The 14,111-nt window shown below is 49.6% G+C and overlaps 1 protein-coding gene across 26 annotated transcripts in view, besides 2 other annotated features; it reads left to right on the plus strand.

Annotated features, from left to right (window-relative positions):
• The window catches only part of IFT122 (intraflagellar transport 122), an 80,284-nt gene that overhangs the window by 51,483 nt on the left and 14,690 nt on the right, over nt 1–14,111 (plus strand). For 16 of the 26 annotated variants that reach the window (NM_001280545.2, NM_052985.4, NM_001280541.2 and 13 more), the window contains 5 exons: nt 435–488; nt 3,740–3,901; nt 8,196–8,362; nt 11,005–11,176; nt 12,613–12,715. In NM_001280545.2, the coding sequence (NP_001267474.1) occupies nt 435–488; nt 3,740–3,901; nt 8,196–8,362; nt 11,005–11,176; nt 12,613–12,715 (658 nt within the window). Of the gene's footprint in view, nt 1–434; nt 489–3,739; nt 3,902–8,195; nt 8,363–11,004; nt 11,177–11,817; nt 12,381–12,612; nt 12,716–14,111 lie in introns of those variants that run through there. The other 10 variants (XM_006713691.4, NM_001410809.1, NM_001410811.1 and 7 more) reach the window with 2 other exon arrangements.
• Nucleotides 2,993–4,192: an enhancer, noted in NCBI's record as "CDK7 strongly-dependent group 2 enhancer chr3:129213542-129214741 (GRCh37/hg19 assembly coordinates)". NCBI's record gives its function as "activates an origin of replication core promoter dependent on BRD2, BRD4, P300/CBP, MED14 and CDK7 cofactors, with strong dependence on CDK7, by STARR-seq in HCT116 cells {active_cell/tissue: HCT116}" and the evidence as "EXISTENCE:reporter gene assay evidence [ECO:0000049][PMID:35650434]".
• Nucleotides 3,099–3,971: an enhancer, noted in NCBI's record as "OCT4-NANOG-H3K27ac-H3K4me1 hESC enhancer chr3:129213648-129214520 (GRCh37/hg19 assembly coordinates)". NCBI's record gives its function as "activates a minimal SCP1, AML or CMV promoter by ChIP-STARR-seq in naive H9 embryonic stem cells {active_cell/tissue: H9 hESC(naive)}" and the evidence as "EXISTENCE:reporter gene assay evidence [ECO:0000049][PMID:30033119]".

A 14,111-nucleotide genomic window follows, 5' to 3' on the forward strand; every position in this document is an offset into this window, starting at 1 on the left:
TGTCCCCTGCATTCTACCCATGTTGCCAAGATGTATAGGCAGTCTCTCATCAGTCCATGCATCTCATCCTCTCCTGCTGTGATGCTGCGTGACCCCCCAGAGGGTCAGACCGGCTTGTTCTTCTTTGGGTCTAGAGTCTCCCAAGGAGGCACCGCCACAGACTGTGGCATCACGGTTTTGTTTTACCTGATCTCAAAATGACTGATGCAACTGGGATGTCTTTGCTGTTCTTTACATGGTCCAATCCCATGGATAAAGCCATGCCTCGCTGGGTGGTATAACCTCCTGCACGCACGATGATTAATCTGTGCTTGCTCCCTTCCTCTCCTCTGTGGCTCACTGTCTAGATAGAGCTTGACTTCCCACCCCTAGCCAATCACCCACTTTTGAAGCCAAGAAGACAGCTTATTTTATTCTTTATTTCTTCGCCACAGGCCTTCATCAGAGTACAAGACCTCCGATATTTAGAGCTCATCAGCAGCATTGAGGTAAAAGATGAAGCATTTTTCCTTCTCAAGAAGGCATACTTGGGGTTCCTGTTTTAGGGGCAGCCCTTCTAACAGGCAAGAGCCTTGAGGACATGGGAACAGAGCTCACTGGCGTCTGGGCATCTGGGCCACAGCCTTGCTCCGGGGGCAGAGTGGCCACACTGGGGGAGACAACAGCAGGTAGTGTGAGCTGTTGTGTGATAGCTGGGTGAGGCACATGGGTTCCGGATCTCTCCAGGGTTGGGTTTCTAGTCTGTGAAAAGGGATTGGACCTACCTCACAGGCTGCTGTGAGGATTCAGTAGGTTCTCAGGAACTGGTTTGCATCCTCCTGGTGGCGGATAGCTGGTCACCATCCTCTCAGACTCCAGTAATCTGATAGTGTTGGAGGAGTTTCCCAAATGCACATGAGCTGAGCTCCATTCCCCAGAAATGGACCTGGGGAGCAAGGCCCACAGTCTGAACTGAGCGCCCCAGAGTTCTGGAGCAACCCCTAGCCCTACTGTTTCTGGCTGAGAATATTGACCTTGTCATCCAAACCCAATAGGCCTGCAGTGTGCTAAGGAAGCTGGTTGTAGGTATGCCATTTGCTGGGTGGTGGTCAACACTATGCTTTTTTTTTCTTTTTTTTTTTTTTTTTTCTGAAACAAGGTCTCACTCTGTTCCCCAGGCTCAAGCGCAGTGGCACGATCACAGCTTACTGCAGCATAGACCTCCCAGGCTCAAATGATCCTCCCACCTAGCCTCCCAAGTAGCTGGGACCACATGCATGTGCCACCCCGCCTGATTAATTTTTTGTATATTTTTTAGAGCAGGGTTTTCCCATGTTGCCCAGGCTGGTTTCAAATTCGTGGGCTCAAGCTATTAGCCCACCTTAGCCTCCCAAAGTGCTAGCATTATAGACTTGAGCTACCATGCCCGGCCCTTAGACACTATTCTTAATTTCTGTGTATCTCAGTGCTGTCTGGCTGTCTGTTAAAAGGCATATACATTTTTTCTCCTGAACATATTTATTGTGAAGGTATGGGAATGTGAGATACATTTGAATTCCCAGTTGGAAACAGTGAGGAAATAGCAAATGTCTTGTCCCTCTCATTCATTTCCCCATAATAAACACCTGTCATGGGCCAGCCCTTGTGCCGAGCTCAGTGGGCACAGAGCTGAGGAGGAGAGAGGCTGACAGGAGCTCACAGCCTGCTAAGCCTCATAACGTAATCTGCTCTGTGCCACATGCGTGATTTATGTGAATGCTGTTCTAGATCCTCACATTAACTGAATGAGGCAGGTACTGTTGCTCTCCCTATTCCATGCAGGAGGAAATTAAGGCTCAGCAAGACGATGCCACATCCCCATGGGTCCATAGCCAAAAACTTGGTGGAATTCAAGCCCAGTCTATTTCCTAAGCTCATGCTCTCTCGGCCACATACCCTCCCTACCCGCGTGTTGTAAGGGGCATCTGTATATTCTGGGGTTTACCTACCCGCGTGGTAAAGGGCTTGTTCGGAGCTATTGCTCAAAATGCCCAGTGCTGCTGACTTTCACTTGTAAATCCACTGGCCTGGATCTGGGGGTCTTCACCTGAAGCCAAGGAGCATAATTTTCCTCTCTACAAAAGTAACTGCTGTGGGGTCCAACTATTACTTGTCACATCTTACTGGGGTCAAAATGTAGTCCTCTCCTCGTATGCTATGAGCTGGGAAGTGCGTTAAAGTAAACTCCTAAGATTGTCTCTTGAAAAAAAGTAAAGTGCCTTTGAGTGTGCTCTATATCGACTGCCTGCAGACTTATTTGCACACATCTGGGTGCTCAGCATAATTCCAGAGAACTGCAGATCCTTAGTGGGTGCCTTTTGGATAGGGGAGATGTTCTTGTCCTGCTGACGGGGGGAAAGAACCTGCCCATGTTGACATGCACCTGCTGAGTGCCATAGATCGTTTTTATTGGTCATGGTGATATCCTGGGGCCTAGAATGGATATGGCCTGAATTTCATGTCTAGTAAAACCTTTTTTGTTTGTTTGTTTGTTTTTTTTTTGCAGAGATAGAGTCTGGCTATATTGACCAGGCTGGCCTACAACTCCTGGGCTCAAGTGATCCTCCTCTTTTGACCTCCCAAAGTGTAGGGATCACAGGTGTAAGCCACCATGTCCAGCCAAAATCAATCTTTTATCTCACGGCAAGATTTCAATTCATTTCCAACTATTAGGAGTTAGTTTGTTTGATGAGCCTGAGCTGTGTGCAGGTTTTTAGAATGATAATTTCTGTCAGTATGGAAGCATGTTGCCTCCAGCTGTTAAAACTTTCACCAGCTTGTCTAAGAGTTTGATTCAATGTCTTATCGTCCTCCAATATGCTGCTCTTTCTAGAAAACAAGCAAAAGGAAACTGCTAGGGCTCAGGGTTTGGGTGCTACTGAGTGTTTACAAATACTCGAGCTGTAGACAAGCGAATGTTCCCTGACACAGAAGGAAGAAGCTTTATCCTAGCTGTGCTAAGTGTGTGTGTGTGTGTGTGTGTGTTGTTGGGGACATCACTTGCTTCAAAAGACTACATTGTGTGATACAAGGAATATCTGGAGTCAGACAGAACTGCGTCCAAATTCCAGCTCTGTCTGACCCTGACCTGTTCCTCTTCTTGAGTCTCAGCGTCCTTCACTCTAACACTTGGGTAGTGAGACCTACCCTGAGGGTCACTGAGAGGAATAAAGGGGCCATGTGTGTATAAAGTATATACCCAGAACCTAGTGGATGTTCAGCATGCGGGATTTCTTACCTTCTCTTTAGAAGTAGGGATATCGTAAGACTTGTCATCCTATTTTATTGGTCTCCCTCTTGGGCAGAAACCCTAAACATTCTCCTGCTCTGTCATCCCCATGAGCCACAACTCTGCCAAACGGGGCCTGCGGATTTGGGAGATCTTGGGAGCTTAGGGGTCATGGATGAGTCAGAGCACACACTATTCAAACTATTCCGTCATAGCCTTGGAATACACAGGAAAGCAACCCTGAGGAATTTCCATTAAACAAACAAAGGTTTGCATCTTTTTTTGATCTTTGCTTGTCTGGTAAAAGCCTGCTTTTGTTGTCAAGCCTTCCCAGCGGGAACCTAGGGGAGAGAGACAACAGCCAGGAGCCAAGCCCAGGTTCCAGTAGGAAGGCCCAGGGGCCTCACTTGAAATAGCCACATCTAACCTTTGTAAAGGCTGCTTCCTGCCCATGGCTGCAGAGGCCATTTCCTTTGCTTCTAATTTTTCCAGGAGAGGAAGAAGCGGGGAGAGACCAACAATGACCTGTTTCTGGCAGATGTGTTTTCCTACCAGGGGAAGTTCCATGAGGCCGCCAAACTGTACAAGAGGAGTGGGCACGAGAACCTCGCGCTTGAAATGTACACCGACCTCTGCATGTTTGAGTATGCCAAGGTAACCTACCCTGTCCCAGGCCCAAGCTCCAGCTTGGAGCCCACTGGTATTCTCACGTGCGGTGTCCAAGTTATTTTCCCCAAGAGTGCTGCGGACAAAAACTAGCAATGGTCTCAGAAAGGATGTGGGGAAACTGGTAAACAAAGGACCCATCTACAGCCACTGGTTGAAACTCACCTAAAACTGACCTTTAAGGCTGACACCAAGGGGGCAGACTATGGCAGTTCAGACCTTCATCAGTGACAGGGCTGGATGGCTGTGGGTCTACACCAGCACAATCCCTTCATTGAGTTGAGGGCTCAGGGCTTCAGGGCTGTCCCCCACAAATCCTCTCAATCCTTGTCAGGAGCCGCCAAGAATCGGTGTCTTCAGGCAGGAGCCGGTCCTGCCGATCATGCAGGACGACATGGTGCCTGCCAGCCAAGTTTCCCATAGCACCTGCTGATTGTCCTGGACTTCTCACTGGGCTTCTGGGAAGTCAGGCAGAGCCTCCGCCCTCCCATGTTAGCGCAGCATGCCTCACGCCTGCCGGCTGCAGAGTGGCTACCATGTGGTTGCAGTGGGTGATGGCAGAGATTCCCTTTTGCATTGGGACGGCCCCCATGAACCTTACTCCCCAGCAGAGCTGGGCCTTTTAAGGCAGGTGTAGGAGAGGAGCTTCCTGGACCAGGCTCCTGATGGCTTCTGTGGGAAGGAGTTGCACTAAGGAGCCCAGAGCAGTCAAGACATTTGCAGTTCAGTCTAAGCAAGGTTCAAAGAGGCTTCGGTACACTGGGCAATGAGGGTCTTCCTTCCATCAAGGGGCTTTGTTAACCTGCCTTTTCTGGAAGTGTCAAAAGTGGCTCTCAGTATGTTATGAAGTGACTCATCAGCCATAACCTATTGGTGGGCTACTAATGGTAGTTCTCCAGCTCACAAGTTCAAGATGGAAAATCTTCCCCACTTTTTTCTGCTTTTCTATTCCTGAAGATGGCTGTGCTCTTCCACCACCTGTTCGACCCTGGGGCTGAAGGTGTGTTTGGTGGCCTGTGATGTTGCCCAGGACCTATTGTTCATCAGGACTTGGACGAGCTCCTGGGCCCCAGCCTGTCTTTTCACCTTAGTGATTTCTTCACTCCGTACCTGAGACCCAGGGTGTTCAGGCTCCCTCTACTTTTTCCTCGTCACCTTTCCTACCCTCCCTCAGGCCCCACCAAAGACACCTAGAAGATTTCATAACACATTCATACTGAGATCACCAGAGTCAGTGCATCTCTGCTTCCGGGGATAACAAAATTTTAACTCAGGATGAACCCTTAAGGGATCAAGACCCTAGAGGTAGAATTTAGGGTTGGGAACCCCTGAGGCCTCCTCAAGGAGGCAGCTGTGCTGCAGTAGAAAATGCCTGACCAGGCTGGGCATGGTGGCTCAAACCTGTAATACTAGCACTTTGGGAGGCTGAAGTGGGTGGATTGCTTGAGCTCAGGAGGTCGAGACCAGCCTGGGCAATATGGTGAAACCCTCTCTCTACCAAAAATGCAAAAAATTAGCTGGTGCCTGTAGTCCCAGCTACTGGGAGGCTAAGGTGGAAAGATTGCTTGAGCCCCAGAGGTGGAAGTTGCAGTGAGCCAAGATCACGCCACTGCATTCCAGCCTGGGTGACAGAGCAAGACCCATGTCAAAAAAAAATAATAAAATGCCTGGCCTTGGTGCCCCAGAGCTGGTGTGAGTGCAGTTTCTTTCTGTGGGATGACCTGGGGAAAGGCTCTTCGGTTTGCCAAACCTCCCTTCCCTTCTCAGATGGTAATAGCGACAGCTCAGTTTAGTCATGAGATTTGCACAGAATAATGTATAGGAAAGCGCATTAGAAATGCCAACCTGTAGAAAGATTAGGAAGATGAGAGGGGCCACACGTGACCACAGAGTGGATTTTCATACCTCTCTCCCTGGCTGGCCCCACTCCTGCCCCTGCTCTGAGGCCCCTCCTTACACTGTGGTGGACTTCGTGTGCCCACAGCCTCCCACCAGAACTGCAGCCCATTTACACACTCCATTTGCTCCGTCTCTCTATGAAGGTAAATACTCTGGGACTTGTTTTTGGTTTTAGTTTTTGATCACTATTCCAAGGAGGTTGGTTCCTTTTCAATCCCCCCTGCCCCCACCTGGTAGTCTGAATTTGAGAAATATGTACCTACACATTATGTGGGGGGTGGGGGAGATCTAGTCCTGATTAACGTGGCATATTTTTGTTTACTTGAAAATTGCTTCCCAAGATTCAATCTGGTTTTCAGAAAATTTTAAAATTACATTCCCACGTACAAATAAATTGTATGCTTTCTGGATAAGTGACATGTTTATATGGTGATAAAGGGAATTATAATGCTCTTAACTCTTATGTAGTATGTTCTTATCAAAATCACCAAGCATGAGAACACTGTTTAGTCTCATTCATCACTCAGCACAGCCTCTTTCTGTCCACTTCAGGGCCAAGTCTTTGCCATGGCCCCAGATAATGTGTAACTTAGCTTCAGGAAAGCAAAAAGCCTTTGAATTTCCAGTTTGCTGAGCCTTGAAGGAAGCTTTTAGACCCAGCTTCAATGAAGTCACAGCTCCCTGAGTGACCAGCTGGCCTAGGCTTATGGCTCCCTCTCAGCCTCTCACCCTTGCCGTGGTCACCCCTGGTCCCCTGAGCACTCACTGAAGTCCCTTTGAAGGACATTTCTAGTCTCCTAAGATGCCTGTTTTCCTCCAGCTGCCACCCTCATTTCACCAGCCAGGTAGGCAGGGTTTCCAGCTTCGTGCTGGCATAGAGAATCCGCGCCATAGCAGCTGCCAGAAGGAAAGGTGTGTCTGTAAAGGCCCAAACTAGGCGGGGACAGCGGCTGCTTTCCAAGCCCCTTCCCTTTGTCAGCTCCAGGGAGAACCAAAGGCCAGCCAGGGGGCCTGTCTTCTATTGGGTCCCAGCATCAGGGTATACAATGCGCTTTCCTCCCCTTCTTAAAATGTATCATATATTAGGCCGACCTAATACTCTGAAAGCACATTTACCCTGAAAGCAAATGAGGGAAAAAAGCGAGCTAATTGTTCAAGTGGATTTTTAGCATACATTGACTGTACTTTTCTGACACATGAGTGTTAATCATGGGGAAAGGAGTGCTTTTTTTGTTCTCAGTGAGGCTGACACAAAGTACTCTCCACAGGGTACATTATTCCTGAGACAAACCACTTCTTACCAGTAACATAGACCTGGGCTGTAAGTGCTCCCAGTTTCCCTTTTTGAAAAGCTCCACCTTTAAAAGCTGCCTCAATTCTGGCAAACTCCCACGTGTGTATTTTGGGTAACTACTCTGAAAAGAGGTGGTGTTCTGAGGCTGTTTCTCACACATTGTAGGGCCAGCCCAGAGAAGCTGGGCATACCACTTCAGAGGTATGCTGAGGCCGAAGGAACACAGGCCCTAGGCCTGATCTCTGAGCCTCCAGGACCACAGCCATCTCTTCCTTCTCAGGTCCTCTCCTGAGCACCTTCCCTGCCTCAGATTCCCCCATGGCCTCCTGCTGTCCCACTGTCGGATCAGGTTCTCACCCCTGCAGACCTGACCTCAGCACAGGATCCCTAACCATTCAGCTGAGAAGCAACTAACCAGAGAGATGTTTGCTTGTTATCTGTTCCAGGAAAGTAACTGGGGCAAAGACAATGTGATGATTCTCTAGTTCAGGGCACAGAATGTTTGCTGGTGACTCAGAGAGGGCATGGAGGGCACGGAGGGCCGGCAAACACTGTAAGTCATTTTGTTTGTGTAAGTTTAGGGGAACCCATGCTCAGCCTCACTCTGAAGCATGTGGTATCACCCATATGATCTGAATAAGATGACAGGTCTCGATATGTGGAATTGTGCACCAGGTTGTCTCATTGCTGTTTAGGAACAGTCCTGTATTGACCAAACTATGTGAGAGAGAGACAGCCTGATCATGAACCCCCGACCCTGCAGACTTCATGTGCAGTGCCCCAAATAGTCTAGAAAGTGTTGTTTAGCCGATGAACAAATGCCCATTTGTGAGACGGGAAGGAAGCACTGGGGGCCAGCGTCCCTGATGCTGTCCCAGGATCCCCCAGGAACACCTGCAGGGCAGCCTGAGATCACTCTTCCCGAGACCTGGGACTCCCCCAACTCAGCCCCTCAGGGCCGGGCCCTGCCTACCTCCTGGTTGCCTGCTTCAGCCATGTGGAGCCCGCCCTTGCTGCTAGAAAAGCCTGATGTAACGCTGGCACAGGAAGTTCTGATCCAGAGTGTTTTTGTTTGTTGTGCTTCCTCAGGATTTCCTTGGATCTGGAGACCCCAAAGAAACAAAGATGCTAATCACCAAACAGGCTGACTGGGCCAGAAATATCAAGGAGCCCAAAGCCGCCGTGGAGATGTACATCTCAGCAGGAGAGCACGTCAAGGCCATCGAGATCTGTGGTGACCATGGCTGGGTTGACATGTAGGTTTTGGTCCCTGCCCCGAGAAGCATTTGGCAGCATGTCATCACATGTCACCTCTTGACTGACAAGGGAACCAATAGTGCTTTTCTAATTATCTAAAGCTAATGTGATAGTGGCTAGGTTCTTCAGGAGACACAGAGATTGCACAAGGCAGTGGCTGCCTTCCAGGAGCTTGTGGAGTCACTAGGGGAAGGGATGGTGGGGACCAGGGAAGAGGAGACACCGGGACATCACAGCTGCCATTTGCTGAGCGCTCACTACAACCCAGACGCTGTGATAACCTTCCAGGCATTAGGTTTTCCACCTATGCCATCAGGGCTGGTGTCTCCTCGCCCACCTTGCAGATGATGAAACAGAAGCTAAAGGGACAAGTTATTCCCAAAGTCCAGATAGCTGGAAAGTTGTAGAGCTGAGCTTTAGCCTCTGATCTGCTGGATGTCGATGCCAACTACGCGTGTAATGGTAGGAACAAAAACAAAACAAGTTCCAAATCCATCAGGGAAGAATTCTTATGGGAGGAACCATGGATATCTTCTCTTAGGAGACACTCTTTCCATGAAGGGACCTTAAAGAATTCCAAGAGGTAAATAGAGATGGCGGGAAAGGATATGCAGGCAGGAAGTACAGCAGAAACACAGCGAGTTGGCTCTGGTTGGAATAAAAGACGTGTGGGAATGGGAGGGTGAAGGACATGGGCTGTGGGTTGGGGGAAGTGGGCTGGCCACACTGGAAGGGCCTCCGATGCCAAACGGAGGTGCTTAGATTTGCCAATAGTGAGTGACCACCTACAGTCAGACACCCCCTCAGGCAGGCAGGTAGAATGGAGACCAGATAACTGGCTAGTGCAGTAGAGCAGGAGGGAACTTGGTAGCTGAGGGCATGAGAGAGAAGTAGCAGTGTTAGAACCAAGTGGCCCATCCCAGGGTGTTGGGGCAGTGGTGAGTGTCAGGCTGGCTTTGCTCTGTGGCTGCTGGTGGGTTACACCATTCGTCAAGGTGGACAACAGGGAGAGGAGGGGGTTGGGGTGGGGCAGCACTGAGACAGGATGGATTCAGCCTTGGGACTCAGCACACCGGACCTTGAGGGGGAAGGCTTTGTCCTCCCAGTCAGTGAGCTTCAGGCTCAAGCATGTGCACACACACGTGCACATGCTGCTGCGGTAGGCAAAGGACACGATGGGACAAGCTCCTGAGGGTGGCTCAGGCTGGGTCCTAAAGGCTGTTGATTCTTCTGGAAACAACGTTGTGGTCTACAGGTAGCAGTGGCCCAGCCAGGATTTGGGGATATGGAAGAGGCTGGTTAATGATTAAATTGTTTCCTTGGGTGCTGCCATATATTAATAATTGGTGTGTGGGCCCCTCACAAAGGGACCTTGATGGATGTCCTACCACCCCATCTTTTTCTTGTCCGATAGTAATTTTTTTAAAGACAGAGGCACAGATTTTGTTCCCCACATTATTCTTTAAATGAAGGGGTTCATATAGAAGAGAGCCAGGCAGATTTAGGGTGCTCTGTTCTCTCTTCTGGTTTTTCTTGTCACTTTCATTTGTAAGTGCTATAGTATCAGGTTACCCTGAGGGTACTTGAGTAATTCAAGAAACACATTAAGCATGTTCTGCTTGCTTTCCAGATGTGGCTATAAAAGGTGTCTTTCCTCCAGGGACGTTGGGTGTGATGGGTGGGAAGGTTTCTAAGGCTGTAAGGGCTGTCTATGCCACCTTTCCCTAAAAACGTGTCCTTTTTCTGCTGAGCAGTGTTATTTTTAGATGCCATTATTATTCTAAGTGTAGACTGACAGGCCTCCGTGCCTTGCCTGTCTCCAGACAGGGATTCGTTACAGCTGCTTCTCCTTCCTTTCTCACCAAGACTAGCCTGGGTAGAACCCTTTCTCCTGGGAGAGTTAGTTTGACTCCAAATTCCAGCCTGACCAGAGAGAACAAGCGCATTCTATCCAGGCCTCATGTCCCCATGAGTGATGGGAGGGCTGCTCACCATGGGGAAGCAGTGGTGAGCCAGTGGGTCCCTGCAGCTCCTCCCTCTTTGGTCAGCACGTTGGCCAGGAGGACAGGGAAGACTTCCTGCAGGCCTTTGTCCAGAGCTCAGAGCAGGCCCCACACTCACCTCTTCCTTTAGAGGGCAGTCATTGAGGTATTCTTATGCCTTGGCATCCACTTTTCCGTGAGAATTCCTGCACCCGTGGTGGAAAGAGTGCTGGGCCCAGTCTTGGGCTGGGTGCTTCACCTTCCCCACAGACTTTATTCTTCTCATCTGAGAGATGGAAATAATCATGCCCACCTCTTAGGGTGGTGAAGATTCTGATTTCACGCATGGGAAAGCTCATGGCGTCATCTGGGTACCTGGTAGGGGATTAGGAGATAATTGTTTCTATACCCTGCTGGATAGCTCAGTGACTTCCGAGAAAGACACACAAGGTGGCTGACAGGATCCTGTAAAGGCCACCTCTCCCAGATCCTGGTGATGTTTCTGGAGTGTGTATTCATGCATTTAATAACTACCCACTGAGCAACTCCCATGGGCCATGGCATAGTATCAACACTGGGGACCACAGAATGAATGGACATACGGCTTGCCGTTGACAAGACCCAGAGCCCACCCTCCTACCTGCCCCTTCCCTCTCCAGGTTGATCGACATCGCCCGCAAACTGGACAAGGCTGAGCGCGAGCCCCTGCTGCTGTGCGCTACCTACCTCAAGAAGCTGGACAGCCCTGGCTATGCTGCTGAGACCTACCTGAAGATGGGTGACCTCAAGTCCCTGGTGCAGCTGCACGTGGAGACCCAGCGCTGGGATGAGGTGAGGGGAAAGCAGGCCTCATGGGCTGGGGCCCCACCTGAGCCCTGGGACACAGGCGGGTGGGTACAGGGGCCCTTTGGGGTTCAGATGGAGAGAAGCTGCCCTCGTGATGGAAGGAACATTGGGCTGGCAGTCAGGTAACTTAACCTCGAATTCTCTGAGCCACAGAATCGTGGAGGGCCTTTCCACTTGTCCCTTCATTCAGTCATTGAGAAAATCGTTACTGACAGCCAGCTCTGCCAGGGTGGTGACAGGCACCGGGGATGTTAGTGTGAACACGACAGCTCCAGTGCCTGCTGTTGGGCTGAGCTGCCTCTGACCAGCACCACAGGCTCAGACACATGGCTGATGTGGAGATGCACCTGCGTGACATTTAAAACCTGCTGGGTAGCATTTTGGCAGAAAGCACCATCTGTGCTTTCCAGATCCAGACTGTGAGAGCCATTTCAGGGGCCAGTTTTTTCCCTCCCTTCTCTGCCCCCACCCCACAACCACTACTTCTCTCTGGTGTCAGGGGCTGTAAAGAATTAGCCAGGTCAGCGAGAAAGGTGGCCAGCCTCAGGCTGGCAGAAGCAGCTGATGCTGCCCCTTCTATGGCTCAACCCCCACCCTCCAGCTCACTGGCTCCCTGTTCCCTGCAGAGAAATCCATCCCCGAGAGGATTAGGAGCTGTGCCAAGATCCTCCCCCGACTCACCCACCCACCCATCATGGTCCATTTTAGAGTGAAAGCAAAGCCTTCACTGAGAGGAGCCGTCTGACTGTTGTCTGCTCTCTGAACAGCTCCATTGGTGAGGTGATGAGGTCAGTCATGAGAAAAGGTGGGGCTAGGGACAGAGGCAATGGTGGCTTCTCAAGAGAAATTTATTAGATTTCCCAAGCAGCATAGATTAGAGCATCTTAGAATGACTCAGACCTCGCTGTGCATCAGGCAGACTTTCTCACCATGGCTCATGTCCGGTTCTCCTGGCCTGACAGGTGGTTCTGGGGCTTAGGTGAGAAGCAGTCAGTGGGTCCATACAGCACGAAGCCCACAGTCATCTTTGACAACTGATAAGAAGTGGTGATGATGATAATGTCAATTCTGTTTCCTTAGGTGTCGCCCGCAATTAAAAGAAATCTGTTTGCAGCACTACAGGAGCCCACGCAAACCCTCAAAATAAAATGTTTCCGATTCTGTGCCGCTTCTGTGGTCCAGAAACAGACTGTGTTGTTACTGAATCCAGTCGCTTGCATATTGCTGTTAATTGCCTTTTGTTTTCGAAGAGCTGATTTGTTTTTGCATTTCTGTGGGTAGTTTTTTGGGGGAGGCACTCTCCCCCTCTGAGTTGTCAGGCTGGCAAAATATGATGTCCCTAATGGATTCAGCCAAGTACAGTGTTTTCATGGGGGCTGCAGGGGCAGCTTTATTAAGACTTCATTTGCTCCTTCCCCCAGGCCTTTGCTTTGGGTGAGAAGCATCCTGAGTTTAAGGATGACATCTACATGCCGTATGCTCAGTGGCTAGCAGAGAACGATCGCTTTGAGGAAGCCCAGAAAGGTAGGCAACACAGACTGTCACCTTCTAGAAGGAGCAGGAGAAGTTACTGCCAAGACATACATTTCAGGAAGGCTACCAAGCCCTTCCCATCTGTAGATCCCAAGATAGATGACTTCATCCTGGGGATGTGATTGTTTGGTGGTGAAAGACTGTGGAGCATGGAAAGACCATTGGCCTTGGAGTCACACCCTCCTGGGCCACACTCACTTGCCACAGGCCCTTAAGAGGTGCTGCCTCCTCTCCAAGCCTCTGTGGTTACTGAGCAAAGTGCTGTGCACTGCAGTGTATCTTCCCGTTTAATCCTCGCAACAGCCCTATGGTATAGCTACCATCATTATGATTCCCATTTTGCAGATGAGAAAACTGAAGGGTAAAGAGGTGAAGAAATTTGCCTGAAGTTTCATAGCTAGGAAGTGGCAGGGAGGTAATGTGAGCCAGGGTACCATGAGGACAATAAGGGAGGATTGCCACACAGTGTGAGGCATGGTCTCTACTGAGAATAGAAACTCAGCTTCTATTTCTGGCTCAGATAAACGGGTGACTTCTGCTCCTCAAGAATTCTGTTGGTAAAATGGGCTGCACACAGCGTACAACAGCATCTGAAATAGGAGTTAAAGCAAGTATAGAACTTTCGCTGATGTTATTAATCATATTTTTTAAAGTTGACTTCCCTCTCTGTGTCAGGCCCTGGCTGAGCACTTAACCTATGTAACCTTGAATCTTGCCAACAGCTGTGCAAGGACGAAGAGGCTAAATGTGCCATGCCAAGTCACAAATCTAGTCAGCAGCAGAGCCAGAATTGGACCAGTACCTCTCTGACTGGGGAACCTGATTTTTCTGTTTTGCTGCCTATTTAGCCTTCTAATGGAAGTTGGGTGTTTGATGTTCCATAGCATCTGATTTACGCTTCTATATGGTAACCGTTGCCCTCTCTGGACACATTGCAGAACAAATGTCTCCCTGTTGGAGCCCCTCAACCGAAAGCCCTCATTGAAGGTTAGCGCATTCTCTGCTGCTTCAGCATTTCCAGAGCACCCAGTTGCTGAAGTATCTGCATGTTTGGGCAAAACACATCAACCTATCCATCTGTCTGTGTCTGCCCTTCCAAGAATCCATCACCATAGTAACTTGGTACTCAGACAAGAGGTTGTAGATGAGAACGGAACAAAGGCCAGACCTTCTCCTTCTCTGAAGGCGGAGGATTAGGATCATTTGAGTGCTCTCATATGGCAAGTGTCATGGCTACAAGTGCTTCACTGGCAGCCACCAACATCTCAAGGGGCTGGCCACGTAGTAGGTACTCAGAAAATATCTGTTAAACAGTATAGGAACGATTGAGAGTTTTTTTGCTTGTTTTCACAAATGGTTGTGATAACTGAGGCAGATCCTTCAAAGT

Source organism: Homo sapiens, chromosome 3 (genome assembly GCF_000001405.40).
Source record: "Homo sapiens chromosome 3, GRCh38.p14 Primary Assembly".
Lineage (NCBI taxonomy): Eukaryota > Metazoa > Chordata > Mammalia > Primates > Hominidae > Homo > Homo sapiens.